Genomic DNA, 20,621 nt, shown 5'->3' on the forward strand with positions numbered 1-20,621 from the left:
GAAATTTTTCCAAGAATAGATAGCTCTTGATAAATGACTGGCTTTGGTGAGTGAAAGGGAAGAGAGAGGTAAGGACACCCACAGAATTCTTTCCAAGGAAACTAAGTAGATCATGCCTGGCACATGGCAGGCACTCAATCCATTTGTTAACAATGAATTAGCAAATACCTTTGCCTCCAAGCACTATACTATACTAACTTTCAAGACCACTGGGATCTGAATAAATAAGAATTCTCTTCATTACTACTTACTTCTGTGGCTATCAGTGCACATATGACTGCTGCCACACAACTACTGAATAGCAAATAAGCTCTCCTTCCCTCTCAACTGGTAAATCAGCTCTTTTAGGAGAGTCTTTCACATCCTTCAAATTATGGACACATAAATCTTTCCCAAAAAGTACAATGAAACATGACAAACATTTAAGGGATCCCTTCAGACCAACAAAAATAGTCAACCCATGAAGGAAAAGCAGAGAACAACAAAACAAGGGAGCTGTGCAGACACTAGTTAAGAATGCATTTTTAGATCTTAGGCTTTCCTTTTGGCATCCTTTTCCTTCTTCGTGCAGGACATTCTCTGTTTTCATTTGTCTAGGAGTCTCTGTATTCACCCTTGTTCTTAATAGTTTTGATAGGCACAAAATTTTAAGTGCCTCATCTTCCCTTTTGGCCGATGAAAATCTGCTATCAGTCTAATTGTTACTGTGCTTTCTTTGCCCTTTGACTGCTTTTGAGATCTTTTCATTGTCTTTGGTGGTCTAGTTTTATTGCAATGTGTCTAGGTGAAGATTTACCATTTCTCATTATTATTTAAAATTTGACCATTGCTTTTTCCTTTCTCTCAATTTTCTCCTTCTAGAGCTCTGGTTAAATGTACTTGGGGCTTTTCCTTCTCCTTCAGTGTCTCTTTCATACTTTCCATTGCCTTTTCTCTCTGTGCTATGTTCTGTGTGATTACTTTCTGTCTTTAATTCATAAGTATTTTCTCCAGTCATATCTAATTTATTATTTAACCTAGCCATTGGGTTTTATATTTTTATTGATTATAGTTTTTTATTTCTAGAAATTATAGTAGGTTCTTTTTATATTTTCCTGTTTATTCTGAGACCACTTATGATTTTATCTTTTTAAAAAAAAATGTACCATACATCGTTATTTTATAGCCTGTATCTGATATTCCAATATCTGAAGTCTTTTTTTTTTTTTTTGAGACTATCTCACTTGTCACCCAGGCTAAAGTACAGTGCACAGTCATAGCTCACTGCAGTCTCGACCTCCTGGGCTTAAACGATCTTCCTGCTGCAGCCTCCTGAATAGCTAGGACTACAGGCATGTACCACCACACCCAGCTAATTTTTTAATCTTTTGCAGAGACAGGGTCTCGCTATGTTGAGCCTCTTGCCTCAGCCTCTCAAAGTGGTAGGATTACAGATATGAGCCACTGCACCCGGCCTCTAATATCTAAAGTCTTTGTGGGTCTCAGGCTATTGTTATTTCTGCTGACTTTCACTCTTTGGGGCTTCTTTTCCAGTGTGTATGGTTGTTTCTGAAAGGGAATTTACATTCAGCCAAATTTGTGGATAACCTGAGTAGCATTCTGTTGAGCAAGTTTTCATCCAAAAAAGATTTGCATTGTTTCGTTACTAGTGGGCACTGCCAACCCAGACACTTTGATTTCTCTATTTTGGATTTATCTGAAAGCAGGTAATAGGAATTTGAATTCCCAACCAACATAAAGACTTGACCCGTGGTTATGGATTCTTAGGAGAAAAATTATTGCCATTATTTTTTCCCATCAGCATTTGTGTAGAGACAATAGGTTTCTTTTTTGGTTCCCTGAAACAGAAAATCAAAATAATCCTATAAACATTTAAAAAAACCTGAAGAAGTAGTTCAATATCTTCCCACAAAGAAAATATCAGGCCTATATAGTTTTACTATATAGCAAATTCTTCCAAACTTTGGAATTATTTATTACTTGAAAATTATATGAACTCTTCCAGAGACAAAAAAGAGGGCATTATAACTTTGATACCAAAAACAGACAAAGTCAGTAAAAGAAAAGCATAGGCTAATATCACATGAGTAGGTATGAACAAATCCTAAAAAAGTATTGACAAACCAAATCCAAGAATGTATAAAATATATATCATAATCAAATAAAGTTTATTCCAGGCATATACAGTTTAACATGAGAAAACCTGTTAATACAATTTACCACATTCACAGATTAAAAGAGAAAAATAATTTTGAACATTGAATTGATGAAAAAAGCATTAAAAGAATCCTTTAAGTCTGATGTATGGCCCACAAAAAAAAAAAATGAAAAGAAAAAGAAAAAATAATCCTCACCTTTTCATAATGTCTGGAATTAAAAAAGCTTAATGAACTGGACATGCAAGAGAATTGCTTCAACCTGAAAAGGGTATCTGCCAAAAACCTCAGCAAGTGTCATTCTAGATGGTGAAGTATTAGAAGCATCACTAAAATCAATCAGTCAGAAACAAGACAGCATGTCGCTTGTTACTGCTTCTTTTTTTTTTTTTTTTAGACAGTCTTCCTCTGTCACCAGGAGTGCAGTGGCATGATCCTGGCTCACTGTAACCTCCGCCTCCTGGGTTCGAGCCATTCTCCTGGCTCAGCCTCCCGAGTAGCTGGGATTACAGGTGCCCACCACCACGCCCAGCTAATTTTTGTATTTTTAGTACAGATGGGGTTTCACCATGTTGGCCAGGATGGTCTCAATCTCCTGACCTCGTGATCCGCCCGCCTCGGCCTCCCAAAGTGCTAGGATTACAGGCTTGAGCCACCGCGCCCAGTCCGTTACTGCTTCTTTTCAACATTGTCCTGGAGGTCTTAGCCAGTACAGTTAAATAAAGTAAAAGAAATAAAAGGTATCAGGACTGGAAAAGAAAGAACAAAACTGGTTGTAATGATTCAAAACAGTAATGAGTCACAAATGATGACTGTCTGCATAGAACACACAAAGAATCTATGCAGAGCTACTAAGAGAGTTGAGCAGAGTTCAAGACCAGTCTGGGCAACATGGTGAGACCCCGTCTCTACAAAAAAAAAAATACAAAAATTAGCTGGGCATGGTGGCACACTCCTATAGTCTCAGCTACTCTGGAGGCTGAGATGAGAGAATTGTTTGAACCCTGGAGGTGGAGGTTGCAGTGAGCCGAGATGGCACCACTGCACTCCAGCCTGGGCGACAGAGTGAGACCCTGTCTCAAAAACAAAAAAGAAAGTTGAGCAAGTTTCTTGGATATAAAAGCGCTATGCAAAAACCTTAGATTTAGAACTTACTGAGGGCAGGGACTAGAAGGCTTACATGTCTTGGATGGAGTTCTTGCTTTGCTGGTGTTTATTCATCCTGAATGAACTCATTCCTAGAACACTTAATTACAATGTAACACAACAAGATTTAAGATGAGTGTAGCCAGTAGGCTGAACCTCTCTGTTTACCAGAAGCAGTGGGGCCCATGAGGAACAAACACCTCAGCCTTGGAGTCCACTAGTCTACCATTTAACCAACCCATGCACCAGGGTATGTCACACAATCAGGAAAGGTGAACTACACAACTGGGAGACAGTGTGCCCTCCACAGGCAAACTGGGGGCTTCCGCTCATTTGCATGTGTATATGGCCTTAGAATCCAGAGGCTTCACCCCTTGTTCTCCAGCATGAAGCTTCAGCAACATCTCAAAATCTTAGCTGGGGATAAGAGGGAATGAAGGGATAGGGGAAACAGAGATAGCAACAGGTTTTTTGTTGTTGTTGAGACAGGGCCTTGCTGTTGCCCAGGCTGGAGTGCAGTGGTGCAACATTGGTTCACTGCAGCCTCGACCTAATGGGGTTAAATAAATCAATCCTCCTGACTCAGCCTCCTGAGTAGCTGAGACTACAATCGCATGCCACCATGCCTGGCTAATTTTTTTATTTTTTATTTTTTTGTAGAGATGGGGTCTTGCTATGTTGTCCAGGCTGTTCTCAAACCCCTGGGCTCAAGCAATCCTCCCTGCTCAGCCTCCCAAAATGCTGAGATTATAGGCATGAGACACCATGCCTGGCCAGCAACCGGCTTTAAGTCTATGAAGATTTTGCATCTACTGGACAATATTCCTTCTACTATAATAGAAATATATATTATATATATGGTTACATATATAAGTATAATAATGTTCTATTAGATAAGGTTATTACATGGGACAGTCTAGCATTCTCATTTTATATTTTTTAGATGACAATCACGGTTCTAAGGTCTTGCCCAACTCACCAGCCTAATCTCCTCACCTTGCTCCTTACACTCCAGCAAATTTAACTACTTGGAATTACCTGTATCAATAGGCCTGGGGTCCCCATCCTCTTCTCATTCATCCCTGGCTTCTCTGACCACACGTTCCCACCCCCACCCACACACACAACTCATACAATCAGTGACATCTCCTCAGTGCTCCTTTCCTATGAATTATAAAACTTTGTGATGACAAACAATTACAATTCGATATACCATGTGTATTCCCGTCTATGTCCCTTACTGGACTATGAGCTCACTAAGAACAGGGACCACACTGTATTCACCTTTGTACCTCCCGTGCAGTTGCTCCATGTATGTTGGTTTGAATAAATGAACGTGTGTGTGTGTGTGTGTGTGTGTGTGTGTTTTCTCTAATACGCGGAAGACCTAGACCTTCCTCCCACTACACTCTATGAGTTCACTAAGGGAATAAAACATTGGAAGGAGAGAGGGAACAAGAGAGAAATGTTGTTCTTGGATTGACAGGCCCCCTCATTAAGGAGATAATTTAGCCACAGGCCAGCGACCGAACTGTGATGGCCTCAGACAGAACTCCCTCAGCAACAGAACAGCACTGCTGCCAGAGCAGCGCCTGGCTCCCCAGCCCCAATGAGACCAGATGTTTTCAAAGTGATACTGTGAGAGGCTGGCTGATCTTGTTGAAAATGAATCTCTCTGAACATGTTTAAAATACCAGGGAGAAACTTAATCAGGGAGATAACCAAGAGAACAGACAGAGTTTACCATAGGGCCATTTCTATCTGTTTACCAGGAAAAAGAGAAAACAAACAGGCTTAAAATGGGACACGCCTGGTGAGTGCAGAAATGACATTTTTGGAAAAATATCAGCTAGTGTGTGCTTAGATTAGCAGGTTATTTACTGATGTTGGGAATCATATTAAGGTCCCAATAAAGAGTTACTTTCTTACTGCAGGCAGGGGAATATTGTGCATATAGCCTTTGCTAAATTTAAAAGCAATGTAGCTAGCTTGCTTATTTATTTGTTTGTTTGTTTGATACAGAGTCTCGCAATGTTGCCCAGCCCAGAGTGCAATGGCACGATCTTGACTTACTGCAACCTCTGCCACCCAGGTTCAAGCGATTCTCCTGCCTCAGCCTCCCAAGTAGCTGGGATTACAGGCGCCCGCCACCATGCCTGGATAATTTCTTTTTTTTTAGACGGAGTTTCACTCTTGTTGCCCAGGCTGGAGTGCAATTGCACGATCTTGGCTCACTACAACCTCCACCTCCCGGGTTCAAGTGATTCTCCTGCCTCAGCCTCCCAAATAGCTGGGATTACAGGCACCCGCCACCATGCCTGGCTAATTTCTTTTTTTTTGAGATGGAGTTTTGCTCTTGTTGCCCAGGCTGGAGTGCAATGGCATGATCTCCGCTCACCACAACCTCCGCCTCCCGGGTTCAAGTGATTCTCCTGCCTCAGCCTCCCGAGTAGGTGGGATTACAGGGATGCGCCACCACGCCCTGCTAATTTTATAGTTTTAGTAGAGACGGGGTTTCTTCATGTTGGTCAGGTTGGTCTTGAACTCCCAACCTCAGGTGATCCACCCACCTCAGCCTCCCAAAGTGCTGGGATTACAGGTGTAAGCCACTGCACCCGGCCTACAAATTTTTGTATTTTTAGTAGAGACGGTATGGGTTTCACCATGTTGACCAGGCTGGTCTCGAACTCCTGACCTCAAGTGATCTGCCAGCCTTGGCCTCTCAAAATGCTGGCATTACAGGGGTGAGCCACCATACCTGGCCCAGTGTAGCTTTTTTTTTTTTTTGAGACGAAGTTTCGCTCTGTTGCCCCAGGCTGGATTACAATGGTGCAATCTCCGCTCACTGCAACCTCTGCCTCCCGAGCTCCAGAGATTCTCCTGCCTCTGCCTCCCAAGTAGCTGGGATTACAGGCATGTATCACCACACCCGGCTAAATTTTTTTGTATTTAATAGAGACGGGGTTTCACCCTGTTGGTCAGGCTGGTCTCGAACTCCTGACCTCAGGTGATCCACCCACCTTGGCCTCCCAAAGTGTTGGGATTACAGGTGTTAGCCACTGCGCCCAGCCCCAATGTAGCTTTAAACAGAGAACTATAAAACTTCTAGATGTGCGCTTAAATATTTTTGTTTCATCCCCTTGCAAAATAAATGAGAAGAGATTCAGTCTTCCACATCTTAAAACATACCCATTGATCTTATTTGTTAAAGTATGTTTTACTAGCAGTTAGCAGGATTAAGGCTGACACTCATTTTATATTCTGCACCCAGGGTTAACACGTGATGCGAGAAATTCCTTTTCACGAATACAGAAGAATGTTAGGGATACTTCATGATTAAAGCAATAGAAGTGCTTCAAAGCAGGAGAGGTCTAAACAGAAGCTCACTGCTCTGCAGTCAGGGGCAGATTCACCTTCCATTTCTGATGTCTAGAGTTAAAAACAATTCACCAGGTATGATTTGGGCAGCCATGTGTGACCAACTCCGATGGTCAGAATATTAACTTTAGTTAATGCTCCTGAAAATCACGGGAGCTTCTTTAACAGCCATAGCATGCTGCTGACTCATTCTGAGGCTGCAGTTCTCCAGATCTTGAAATATTTTTCGTGTGTGGCTGTTTAGCCAAACCCCATACTTTCATTTGTAATGAATGGTTTTGGACTCTGGTGCTAGTCTTTCTTTCTCCCTCTCAAGTTGTATTCAACTAGGTTTGGTTTGCTGTTTCAAAATACCAAGATCTCTTTTTTTTTAAAAAAAAATCTCATTTCTGTTGCTCTGACCTATTAACAATTCCCCTAGATTTGTCATTCATGTATGTGATCTGTATGCCAATATTATTGTCTAGAAGATTTTTTTAACTGATGAAAACAGGGGACACAGCCTCCAGCGTGCTTCCTGTATTATCATCTAGCCTGAATTTTCCTCACCCCACGGATAGCACCAGTGACTGATTTGCATGCATGCCTTCTCAACATTCTTCTAAGCTTCCAACCAAGTAACCCCAGGAACTAAAGTTAATCTGGTATGACTGGCTTTTAGCAAAGCCCTGATAGCTACTAACGATGACTGCTTCCTTTATCAAGTATTCAAAAATCGTTGTCTTGATAATCCACTTTATAATAGAATATTTCCTGAGATCGATGTCAAGCTTATCATTTTGTAGCTTTTCTCTCTCTAAATCCTTTTTTAAAAATTAAACTATGTATCCACCTGCATCCTTCCTGTAGTTCTTGTTACTCCATTATTCCTCCAACATCACATGATTTGATGATCTCAGTCTCACACTCCCTCAGTCTTCTTGGACTTTGGGGCTTCACCTTATCGGGTGGCATTAGAGTCTCTTGTCATGGCCTCATCTACTCCAGGCCAGCGATTCTTGCTTCACATTTATCCTACCCTTTCCAGTCAGAGAAGTCATTTCTTGATGGAAAAAAATGCAAGCTGAACAGAAGCTTAGCAGTTTGGTTTCTCTCACAAGCCCCTCTCTTTGGTCTTATTGTTCCAAACATAACTTCTGAAAGCCCTTTTGTTACCCTTCACATTTTTCACAATCCTCTTTTCACTCTGCACTCTGTTTCTTTACAGCCCAGAGCCACCCTCTGATATGGACCTTGGTTGCATGACCCGACCTTCCCTGGGTCTGGCTCAGGGTCCAAGGTCAGGAAAGCACAGAGGAAGTGGCAGCACAGAGAAGGCAGGTCCAAAGGAAAGGGTTATCTAGAAAGTGCCACCTGCAGTCAGCAAGTCAAGGAGAAAAAGTAACATGATACCTGGAAAGATGTTAAGGTCAGAGGTCAGGAAAGGCAGGATTGCTTATCAATCCAGTGGAGCAATACAAAGGGCTATACCGTGGATGAGAAATTAGGTCAGTTGCAAAGAAGATGGAGAACAGGTGCTGCTAAGGAGAGGTAGTTCAAATGGGCATCCTTCCTCTGAGGGCTCCTTACATGCACAAAGACCTGGCCTTTCTGTCTTTGAATCTCCAGCACCTAGCATAAAGCCTGGCACACCAAAGTTCAACATACTTGTGAATGAATACATCAAAGTGGCCCTGGCTCCTCATTACCACACTGGGGGAATCCTTTAAAGGAGCAGGTTCAGACTGGAGTCAGTCTTTCATTCACATCCTTAAACAGAAGAGCTATCTGGATGGCCACATACCTCTTCCTCCTTTGGAACTGGGGTCACAGCATTGTTTTTAATTGTCCTGAACTGTGTTTCTCTTTTTAAACTTGAGGCCATGGGATTGTGTTTATCATGTACCTCGACCTTGGGAATCCTTTTTCTTACAGTCTAGGGTAGACTATAGACAAGAACACATTTCCCTCCCTGGCTGTCAGAGATTCTAAGGCCTGATTACTTCTAAAATGCCTGGTTCTTTCATTTCAACAGCGAGTTCCTACTTTTCTTTTTACTTTGAGACGGAGTTTTGCTCTTGTTGCCCCAGGCTGGAGTGCAATGGCAGGATCTCGGCTCACTGCAACCTCTGCCTCCTGGGTTCAGGCGATTCTCCTGCCTCAGCCTCTCAAATAGCTGGACTTACAGACATGCACCACCACGCCCAGCTAATTTTGTATTTTTAGTAGAGACAAGGTTTCTCCATGTTGGTCAGGCTTGTCTCGAACTCCTGACCTCAGGTGATCCGCCCACCTCGGCCTCCCAAAGTGCTGGGATTACAGGCGTGAGCCACCGCGCCTGGCCCAGTTCCTACTTTTCTATGAGTCAGTGTCTATCTTATCTGAAAACATTGCAATGCCTGATGACTGTGTTCATGAAAAGAATGGCAATTCAACTCCTTTTTCAGGCAGTTTCCCTAATCATGTTAAAACAGCATCATTTAAATATCCTGCATATTACACTATGGTGAGTCTATATAGGAATCCAAGACTAATACACAGTGGTACTGGTTGATAAAAACTTGACCCAGTCATGGGTTAACCTGGGCTCAGCAGAATTCTAGTGACAGCATGAAGCTAAAAGCCACTGTTGAAATTTTAACTTGGCAGCAGTCAGTCAAATTGAATAGGGTAAGAACAAGAAAAACCGTATCAAGGCCAGTATGTCTCTTGGCAGGCAGAGAGGATCTGGCATCAGTGAATCATCAGGCTTCAGGCTGTCTAAGCTCAAACACAGCACTTCTGATAAAAGCAGATGCTTTGTTTGGCTGCTATCTATCTGCCCTTCCTCCAATCCCACCAGTCCCATCTACCCCACCCCCACCCATTCCCTACCGGCTTCTGAAAGAGTGTGTTTGTAAAGGCTTTTTCTAACTAATCGAGAGGCAGAATAAAAATGCTATGGTTTTGAGATAATGTCCTCAAGCCTCTAAGAGGAAGGGCTTCTGCCTACCAGATAAAGGAACATATCCCCTTGACCTGTCTTCCCGGGCAGACACCCATCCTCAACGTGGCCACCTACCTAAACCTTGAAAAAGCAGCCATCACCCTTTAGGCAAAGGCAGACACTGCAGTGTCCATGTACCTCCTCTGTCTACAGGGTCCTTGGGGAATGTCCAGGACCGCTGGGAAGAAACCACAGGAGTATAATCACCATGCTGCTGACACAGACCCCAGGGAGGGTGGCCCTGAAAACATGTCTGCCTTATTTAAAAAAATCAAGTAGTGGATAAAATATGCTTTAGTTTAAATGGCAAGATAGTCTCCTATTGAATTCTATCATCAAAAAAAAAAAAATCTTCTTTTGAACACCAACCCTATCCAGATCCTATCTATCCATATCCTATCTTATTTCTCTGCACTCGGCCTCCTCTGCTGACTCCCTGGAACAAACTGTGCTGGGATTCCTCTGAGGTCGTTCTTAGGGTTCCTTCCCTTTACTCTTTACATAGAGCTCTAGATCTCTCCTTTGACGATGGCATCCATTTCCATGGCTTTAATTTCACTTCTGTGCAGACTCCTAACTTTATACCTTTCAGGCCAGACCTTTTTTGCAGAGCTCCAGGCTCATAATTCCAACCGCCTGTCTGTTTAACACCTCCACTTAGACATGCATGCATCTCAAACTTAGCAAACCCCAAACAGAAGTCCTGATTCTCAGCAATCTACCATAACCCCCTTCCCTAAGAAAATGCAATCAACCAAACAAATAAAGCCTTGGTCCTCTCCCAAGCTTCCCTATCTCAGCAAATGCCCTATCCCATATACCCAGCTGCCTGAGCCATGCTTGACTATACCTCTCCCCCACCCCACCATATCCAAACCTCAGCAGATATGGCAGACTGTACCTGCAAACTATATCTCGAATCCACAGACTTCTCTCCTCTACCACCACGCTAGTGCAGAACCCCACCTGCTCCCTGTACTTTTACAACCACCTCCTGCCTTCCCTCCTCATCCTCTTCTCCATCAATCCTCCTCCACAGGGAGACAAAGCAATCTTCTAAAAACTGATCGTGCCATTCCCTTGCTTAAAATCCTTTAAAGGTAGATTTCCTTTTGCCCTACAGAGAAAATCTGAAGTCCTTACCCAAATCTAGACCAGTGCTAGCCAATAAAAACACAACGTGAGCCACATGGGTAATTTTAAATTTTCTGATAGTCAATTTAAAAAATAGCTGAAGTTAATTTTAATCCTTTATTTAACCTACTATTTCAAAGACATTATTTCAACACGGTTACATAAAAATTATTACTGAAATATATTCTCTTTTTATATCAAATCTTCAAATTCCCATGCCAGAGAGGCCTTCTCTCCACCAGTCTAAGTAACTTGGGGTCCTCTGATGTTGTATCTTCCTTGTACCTCCTCATTTTGTAGTTACGTACTTAATGATGCATTTGCCTGAATGCCCCCTAAACTGAGAACTCCCTAAGGACAGGGGATACATCTATTTCGTGCTTCACTAGGTACCTGGCATCTAGCACAATGCCTGGCATAAAACAAGCTAATAAATACGCATCGAAGAATAAACAGCAAAGACACTGATATTAAGCACAAGAACAATCAGGCAAAGGCTCGGGGCCCGTTCACTGAAGACAGGCTCTGTTTTGTGTATTAGTACGATGGTATGCTGATATTTTAGTGCACTGCGTAGTTGTTATACCTATAAACTGTTGAGTGTTGGCCAAGGCTCATTGCTGTAGGGCAGGCTCAGATAGAGGGATTCCAGCCAGACTCCATCAACATGTGAGAAACTTTCTCCCACAGAAGCTGCCGTCATTGAACGTGATCTCAGGTTACACCAAAGGATTAGGCACCTCCCAGCTCTAGCCTTCCAGGAGGAAGGAAGGAAGGAAATCCATCAGTCTGAGCCTCCTCTATGCCAGGTTCTGTGTTAGGCACCCTCACATGAGATTGTATCTGATCCTTAGAGTCACCCTTTGAGGACATGGAGACTCAGAAAGGTAAAATAACTTACCCAAGGTCACAAAGCTACCAAGTCAGGCTGCTGGAATCAGCGTCAAGGTCACTAGTGGCTTTCTTTGATAGCCACGGCTACGTCGACATCCCAGCAAGGGCCTCAGTGGCTTTGAGCCAGGCGTCCCAGCAGAGCTGAGCAGGAGAAGAAGAAACTGCTGGTGACCAGGTGGGAGCTAGGAGCAGGCATGGGACCTGCTCAACGCAGATTCCCAGTAGGGTGTACCAGGGTCAAGTGTGAAAGTCAGAGCTCTGAGATTCTGTGGAGCCTTCATATTTAGTGAGCAGTTAACCTTCATAGCACTTCTCGGATGGGTTATTTACGCTCCCACTTTATGGTTTAGAACTTGCTATAGAGTTCACACATCTAATAAGTGGCAAAAACAAGGATATGAACTGAAACCTCTGGATTATCTGTCTTGTGTTTTTTCTCCTCTTCACAAAAGGAGTTATTTTATCTTCAGTGATTATACTCACAGGCAAACTGGACCTACAGACAGATCACACTGCATAAAAGCTGGGGCAACTAGGGAAGGTTTCTCAGACCTCTCTAACTTGTAAATAACAGCACAGTCCTTCAAACAAGGCCCTATATGCTTGTCTTTGGGGCCTCTAAGAAGAGAGCTTGAAATTCTACATCCAATCCCACAGCTAGCCTCTTGGTGACAGACTGGATAGTGACACCATTCCGAAGCATGACCTGAGGGCATATCAGCCATGTGGCTCAGGCCGGTCTGGCCACCTAGACCAATCCCCCTGAGGACAGTCTCCTTCCAATCAACCACAGCAACTACTCCTTTAGCTTACAACTAAGACTTCTCCAGCTTGTGTATTCTAGCCAGGCTAGGCTGGCTCGCAAATCCACATGTGATAAGAATATGAGTAGTAATTTATAACTGCATAGCACCTCTGTTTACAAGGTGTTTCAACATATATTGAGGGGCGTGAAAAACCCAGAAGACTAAAATACCTCACCTTTCCCAAATAGCATGCTGGTGGCCTGAAAAAAAACATGATTTAAAACAGGTCTGTCCTGGGGTGGGAGTGAGGAGGGGGCAGTCCAGAGGAGATGTTACACAGCTCCACTCAACAAGGACTGCATTGTGTAATTCTCTGATCATTTTCTTGGTTGTGGTTTGCAATCTGTTAACAATTTTTTTTTGCCCCAGAACAGCTGAGAATGCGTAGATCCTGGCATTTAGGTTCAAATCATCCTTGTCAGTAGAGGATTTAGGACAACCATCAGACAGCTGGTAGATCTGCAGGCACTTCCCACCCTCTGGGCTTCTTCAACCCAGGAGCAGCGCAAGATGCAGGGGCTGAGCTCACCTCTGACCCAGCTGCTCCTGTCCTCAGCACACCAGAGGCCACCAGGGACCGGGACATTCACCATTCCTCGGAATGCACTAAACCATTCGCAACAGCTGCGTTCAAACACCGAGGGGTATTTCAAAATGTTACTAAAACTCAACTTTAAACTTATAAAAACATCAATTCAACCCATGGACTATTACTTTTCAGAAACATTCTTGAACTTGGGCTGTTAAGCCATTGTCACTATGCTAAGTATACCTTCTATTAAATAGAATCTATTAATCTAATAAAAGCTTTTTTTTTTTTCTTTTTTTTTTTCTAAGACGGAGTTCTACTCTCGTCATCCAGGCTGGAGAGTAGTGGTGTGATCTTGACTCACTAAAACCTCCGCCTCCTGAGTTCAAGTGATTCTCCTGCCTCAGCCTCCCCAGTAGCTGGGATTATAGGCATGTGCCACTACGCCCAACTAATTTTTGTATTATTAGTAGAGACAGGGTTTCACCATGTTGGCCAGGCTGGTCTCGAACTCCTGACCTCAGGTGATCCACCTGCCTCAGCCTCCCAAAGTGCTGGGAATACAGGCAATGAGCCACCGCACCCGGCCCAAGATTTTTTTTTTTAACTCAAAATCCAATTTTTTTCTCCAAAAAGTACACAAAAAGCTTCCAATTTGCAGACAGCAGACATGCCTGGGTATAAATAAACTGCAGATGTTTGCATGTGGACCTTCGCATCGTACATCCTTCTGATTAACCCTGAGCTAAAGGCTGGTGTATTTGCGTGTCTGAGGGAACATCTTGCTTTGTTAAAGAGAAGGCAGTAGTTACAGAAACCAATGGTTCTGAAGAGGAATAACTAAAACCATTTTTCAGATGAGGGCATTGATACAGCCCAGAGTTAGGGCTTTAAATCAATGTTTTAGAGGAAAAAAGCTGCATAGATTCTGGACCTTACATCTTTGCTTCAACCTTGAAGATCTGACATTGTGACAGGGTAGGTTACTTACTGCCTGGGAAAATGTACTGCTCATTTTAACTAGGGATAATTCTGCAGACTTTCTGGCCACTGTCAGTTAAAACACTTGTGACGAGTCAGTCAGTTCCACTCATGCAAACTAATGAAACACCACATTGTCCTACCACATGCTCCCACAGCACAAGAGGCCGAAGGAATTAGGCACTCACAGCTGTTCCCAGGAATGTGTGCCTCCACGTACCCACAGGCAGGAAAAAGACCTGAATGGTATCCAAGCACTGATCCCTCAGCTATCCTAGCAACACAGACATCCCGACAACAGGAACCAGTCCCCTCTCAGCCCAAGGAAGATTCCAGATTTGAATACAAATTCATCCTTGAGAATGAATTAACAGCATTTGCAGTGACCTGGATGAGATTGGAGACTATTATTCTAAGTGAAGTGACTCAGGAATGGAAAACCAAACATCATATGTTCTCACTGATATGTAGGAGCTAAGCTATGAGATGCAAAGGCATAAGAATGATACAATGGACTTTGGGGACTTGGAGGGAAGAGTGGGAGGGGAGCGAGGGATAAAAGACTACAAATAGGGTGCAGTGTATACTGCTTGGGTGATGGGTGCACCAAAATCTCACAAATCACCACTGAAGAACTCACTCATGTAACCAAATACCACCTGTATTCCAATAACTTATGGAAAAATATAAAAATAAATAATAATAAAAATTCATCCTTGAAGATAAATGAATCAAGGGGATATCAGCTGAACAATGTGAATGTCAAGAGGAAATCCTGTCTGCAGACCTCTCAGAGAAACCTGGGTCTGCTTGCAGAACAAAGGCTCCTTCTGTGACATCAAGCAGCAGGTTTAAGAGCTCCCTGGCTTCTGGCTTTGGCCCTCTTTCAAAACCACAAGTACATCCAAGGGCAGCCAAGACAACAACAAAGCCAAGAGATACAGTCACCAAAAGAGAAGACCAACTCCCCCTTCCAGGCCTGCCTTCTGCCTGGCTCTCAGCAGGCAAGGCTCCATTCTCCCCAAAGTAGGTGTCCAAAGCACTGAATACAAGCAGGGTACTGACCCCTGTGCAAGAAGATAGCTCAGAGGATGCCCACAGCTGGTGCCAACATTCTTCGGAGGCTATGGAACACACTGTCTGGGGAAGGCCCTATAATACTTTCTAGGTTCTAATCCTAGCTCAGTTATCCATTAAGGTATGATCTTAGGTGCCTCAACATCCCTGAACCCATTTCCTCAACTCTAAATGATGACACTGATGATGGTGATAACAATGTTCATAATGAAATCTGCTATGTCTCTCACACAGGGTTACAATGTTCAAACAAGGTAGTTTATGAACATATCCTTTAAGCTATCTGAAAACTATAAAATGTAGGAGATAACAATTAATAATATTAGGATAATTATTCATGTTATAATTATTGGGATAATTAATAATGGAGGAATTAATAATGGAGGAAATGACACATGTAGATATGAAAGCTTAATCATGCAAGTTTTAAGGTCAAAGAGGAGACTTCCTCTGCTTTGTCTTGGGCCTCCGAGAGGATGTATTTTCAATGAATGTTCAATTATAATAAAGGTTATTATTATTATTTTTTGAAATGGAGTCTCACTCTGTCACCCAAGGCAGAGTGCAGTGGCGTGATCTCAGCTCACTGCAACCTCCACCTCCCAGGTTCAAGCGATTCTCTTGCCTCAGTCTCCTAAGTAGCTGGGATTACAAGCACACGCCAATATGCCCAGCTAATTTTTTTGTATTTTTAGTAGAGATGGGGTTTCGTCATGTTGGCCAGGATGGTCTCGAACTCCTGACCTCGTGATCTGTCCACCTCGGCTGCCCAAAGTGCTGGGATTACAGGCGTGAGCCACCAAGCCCGGCCTATAAAGGTGACTTTTTAATGATTAACAAGCTAAACATATTTTTTTGGAAAAGAGCAAACTTGCAACAGAGTACTTCACAAGACAAAGAGGTGCTTATCTGGAGGGCCTCCCTCTGAGCAAGATAGAGGAGGCAGGAGACATCCAAGGCGGCCCACTATCTTCATGCCAATACCCGTCAGGCCAATACCCAACATGATGAGATGCAATGTTTTCAGAGCTGACATCTGGGCAAGTCACTGTCAACTGAAATTAACCCCTGAATTCACTACGAAAAGAAAAAAAGAGGTGACTGAGCTGGAGTGAATGGTTGGTGTTTCGCAGCTCCTTTCAACTGGAAGAGTTGAATGAGAAGTTCCATTTCTCTCACTGTATTTTTGCTGTGGCACCTTTGGCAAAACCTCCTTCTCTAGAGCCTTGGGTTCTCATTCAGGCTGCTTGGTCCTAGCTCTGCATATGCAAAAACTTTGTTTATATCATTGCTGGTTTCAAAAAGGAATTCAGGCAGCTTATAATCTTATTAAGAATACTTAACAAAAAAAGAATATAAGGTATTTTGTACTCCTCAAAATTGGGAACACCTCAGGAGATTTTTTTTTTAATGTGTTAGAGAAATAAATATATTAATAGTAGTACAGAGCAGGGTAGGACTTTACGACCCTTTAACAGAGAACCATGTGCCTTCTCACTCAGCACAATTTTTGAGGGATATGCATTTGTTACTTCCTGTATTCATCTTTAACAATAAGATATTTTCAGTTAAGAAAAAAAGATGTGAATTTGGATTAATATAGCTCTCAATCATAAACAAACCCTAAACCAGGAGTGCTTGTTAAGTCTTCCACAGCCTGGACTTCAAACTCAGGACCTGCACCCACCCTCCGATAAGATCTTTTACAGAAATATGACCTCTGTCCAAGTCAGTTTTCAAATCAAAAAGCTTTACACTCTTGGCAGCTTGACAGCTTGGACCTTGGGTGTTTACCAAGAACTTCCCCAAGATAGGAAGGGTGACTCCATCACTACTGCCTCCCCACCCACCCCCCTAGTGTGGAGTTTCCCTTTGTAAGAGCTGGCACCTAGCCAGGGCCTCAGAACTTCAAGGAGTAAGTCTATAAACTGTCTGTGTCTAGTACATGGTAGACATCTAGCTCAGGACAGTTTAAGTTAATAAATGAAAAGCGGTCCACCATAAGCCAGCTAACAGTTGGTTCTGACTCCGTATCACACAGCCTGGCATCTGTGCTCATCTTTAGCAGGCCAGAAGTTACCTGTCTTTGCTGCTCACCTCCTGCATTCTTGCCCCTTAAGTGCCAATTATGCGATGTTAACAATCCTGTGCACAGGTATGCACCTCCATGTTCACCCATTCCAGCAGTGGCTGCCTGCCAACTTTCTGAGCTGGGAGGTCACCCACCTAGATTTTGTGGAGCCGGTCCAGGGCCTTCTAACCCCCAGGATACCCCAAGGAATGTCCTAATCTGGTGACAGAAGCAGTTCAGGGCTCTCTAGTGGTTTCTATGGAGATTATCTGGGCCTCCACTTATTTTCTTCTTGTACTACTGCAATTATGGAACTGAGAATAATTCTGAACTCTTGTTCGCCTAGCTTTGCACCAACACCAACACTGTTCTCCTCTCAATGTGCTACACTCCAGCCACAGGCCATTCCAGTTCCTTTTGGGGTTTTCAAACATGCCAAACTTGCTCCCATCTCCAGTTCTCTGCACTTGACTTCCCCATGCCTGCAACAGCCTGGAAGGCCCATGGTTGCTTTCCCTCATTATACAAATATGAGCTTAAATATCATCTCAGAAACCTGTTCATCCTACCAAAAACGTACCACCTCCAATAAATCTCCAGCATATCACTCCATTTCCTCTATAGCATTTGGTATAATCTGCAGTTGTCTTATTTATTTGTATATACTACCTAATGCGCTCACTAGAATGTAAACTCTGGGAAGATATTGCTTCAGATGCTCCACTGCTACCCTGTTAGTCCACATATTTCCACCACCCTATAAAAGGGCAAGAACAGATTGCTCAATAATTTGGCTGCTAGAATGTTTTCAATGCTGGACCAGCCCTTCATTTAAGATAATCAGGACTGAGCAGAATTTTCCTGGTAAGCCCTGGGGCTTATGAAATCAACATACTCTAATATAGGTGCTCCATATATAAATATTGAACAAATAAATGAGCTAGGATCCAAGTGGCTTTGCGACAAGCTTGGACAAAAAGAGAGATAACAAAAGAAACAGTCCCATTCTTTACCAGATAGCATCACAGGCTGCTGATCTTCCCCAACAGGAAAAGGAGTGCAGTTTCCAAACTAGCTCTAACAGGCAGAAACCAATCACAGCCAGGCCCATTACAAACCCAGAGAAAAAGCATTTACAACCATAAGGCTCATTTACCCAGATCTCTGTCACAGAGAGGGAAAAATCAATTCTTGTCCTAAAGTATTCTGAAGCTGACCTGCTGGTGCATCCACATAAAATTTTATTTCAGCATGCTGACAACTAAATATAAGGAGATATGGGGTCTAATTTATAGACATCCTGGCATCTCTATAGAAGTGGATGGACATAGTTCAGAATCTGATGCTATGATAAAAAGAAAATACTTGGGCTTTCTTTTAAGGGACTTAAGAGAGGAAGCTGGATTTTAAAATATCCTCAAATGTTACATAATGTTAAGAAGTGGTTTTTATTTAGGTGTTATAGTTTTTTTTACATTGTGGTTATACAGTTTTTAAAATAAGAGTCCTTATCTTTGAAAGGAACATACCAAAATATTTCCAGATGAAATAATATGAAATCTGAGATTTGCTTCAAAATAATACCAAAGGAGGGAAGTAGGTGGGAGTACAGACAAAACGGGACTGGCCTTGAGCTGGTAACTGTTGGAGCCGGCTGACAGGTGCATGGGAGTTAATTATTCGCTCAACTTTGTGTATGTTTGATGTTTTTCCTAATAAAAACTTCGGAGTCTCACTCTGTTGCCCAGGCTGGAGTGCAGTGGAGCGATCTTGGCTTACTGCAACCTCTGCCTCCCGGATTCAAGTGATTCTCCTGCCTTAGCCTCCTGAGTAGCTGGGATTACAGGCACATGCCACCATGCCCAGCTAATTTTTGTATTTTTAGTATAGACAGGGTTTCACCATGTTGGTCTGGTCTCAAACTCCTAACCTCATGATCCACCCATCTCAGCCTCCCAAAGTGCTGGGATTACAGGTGTGAGCCACCACGCCCGGCCATAAAAACCTTTTAAAAAGCTGTTTAAGACAAATCATCTTCACTAGTGAAATTACAGAAGTTACCTGAAGGTGAAGGTTTCGCCGTGCCGGTCCTGCCATGGGCTCTCCTGGATGCCATCCTGGGTCACAGGCGAGTTCTGCCGTGGGGATTTGGAGTGGGGGAGGGTGCCCATGTGACTGAAGTCATCACAGGACCTTATGGGAGGAGGACCTTTTTTCTTCCGTGGAAGGGTGCCATGTATAGACACATCTTGATAGGCATCTGGGCGATGCTCAGCGAGAGGGGACCTGCTGCTCAGAAGGTCCATGGATGAGGCCAGGGGGAACTGGTGATTCACCGGCATGTTTCTGGGAAGGCTTGCAAATTTTCCTGCAGCCATAATTCTCAACTCTAAGGGGGAAAGAAAAGAGTGAAGGTATAAATCTATGAGAGTCACAAGAACTGACTTCCTACTTACAAAAGGAAATGGAAATATGCCACATAAAATGAAATATTCACAGACCATTAACAGATCAACATTTAATGGCATCACTAGTGGAGTCTAATAAGAATGGGAAGTTTACTTATCTTCCTCCTGAAATGATCCTACATAGGAATTGTCCTGGGTTGGCAGCAAAACCAAGAGGGCAAACACTTTCAGAGTTGTTAGAGGCATATAAGCCATGCACAACCAGCAAAAAAAGATGATTAAGAGAGGACTCATAGTTGCAGTAATAAATGTACGAAAGAAAATATTATAAACTGTTAGATAATTAGCTCACATTATTTTCACTGCCCTGTAAATGATAAGAACAGGCAGGGATTATTGAAATTCTTTAGCTGCTAGAATTGTCTTCAGTGCCAGACCAGTCCTCAGTTGTGCTACACAGGATGGGACAGAATTTTTCTGGCAAAGACCCAGTGTTTATAAATAAATCAATGCACTCTAATTAGTGAACACGGGCTAGGGTCAGGGTCAGGAGGTGGGCCATTCTGCCATACACCAGCAGGCTCAGCTGCAGAGGAAAGCCACTGGGGTGGGGGCTGCATGTACATGGCCCCCACAGAGGGGTCAGGATCTGCCTGCCACCAGCAGGGTTAGGTAATGCCCATGGGTGCCTGTACAGTCGGGGAAGAAGAGACAGGAGAAGGGAAGAAGAAAAGAAAAAAAATGGTGGGGGGCAAAGGAAGCATGGAAAGGGAAAGGAGAATGGCACGTCAGGCTGTGTGCAGCAAGTAGCCCCGACACTCTCTCCTATCTAGGACCATGAGTAGAAGCATTTACCCTGAGCAGAGTCAGTGCCTCCAGCTCCAAAGCAAACTATGGTTTTGGCCTAAGACAAATTATATAATACATTTTTAAGGCCAACACACAGAGGAAAAGAAATAGGAGACAAAAAAAAAAAAAAAAAAAAAAAAAGGCTGGCCCCTGGAGATAGAGGCTCCAGGATCTGTCTTATACTAGTCATGATATCAGACTCTGGTCTGGACAGCACTGCAGGGTGG

At 43.1% G+C, this 20,621-nt stretch overlaps 1 protein-coding gene across 29 annotated transcripts in view, besides 2 other annotated features; it reads right to left on the reverse strand.

Moving 5' to 3' along the window:
• The window catches only part of BCAR3 (BCAR3 adaptor protein, NSP family member), a 286,411-nt gene that overhangs the window by 93,675 nt on the left and 172,115 nt on the right, over window positions 1-20,621 (reverse strand). For 27 of the 29 annotated variants that reach the window (NR_178024.1, NR_178023.1, NM_001261408.2 and 24 more), the window contains one exon: window positions 19,199-19,526. The exons of 1 other annotated variant lie outside the window; for it this stretch is intronic. Coding sequence is in view for 23 of the 28 variants with exons in the window: in NM_001412054.1 (NP_001398983.1) it covers window positions 19,199-19,526 (328 nt within the window). In the remaining 5 variants the exon portion in view is untranslated. Of the gene's footprint in view, window positions 1-11,680; window positions 11,815-19,198; window positions 19,527-20,621 lie in introns of all 29 variants that reach the window. One more of the 29 variants, NM_001412061.1, reaches the window with a different exon arrangement.
• Window positions 6,470-7,669: an enhancer, noted in NCBI's record as "MED14-independent group 3 enhancer chr1:94127441-94128640 (GRCh37/hg19 assembly coordinates)". NCBI's record gives its function as "activates an origin of replication core promoter dependent on BRD2, BRD4, P300/CBP and CDK7 cofactors, and independent of MED14, by STARR-seq in HCT116 cells {active_cell/tissue: HCT116}" and the evidence as "EXISTENCE:reporter gene assay evidence [ECO:0000049][PMID:35650434]".
• Window positions 11,298-11,592: a silencer, noted in NCBI's record as "tiled region #8830; K562 Repressive DNase unmatched - State 7:EnhWF". NCBI's record gives its function as "represses a minimal TATA promoter and a strong SV40 promoter by Sharpr-MPRA in K562 cells {active_cell/tissue: K562}" and the evidence as "EXISTENCE:reporter gene assay evidence [ECO:0000049][PMID:27701403]".

The sequence above is a fragment of the Homo sapiens genome, chromosome 1, assembly GCF_000001405.40.
Source record: "Homo sapiens chromosome 1, GRCh38.p14 Primary Assembly".
In the NCBI taxonomy this organism is placed as follows: Eukaryota; Metazoa; Chordata; class Mammalia; order Primates; family Hominidae; genus Homo; species Homo sapiens.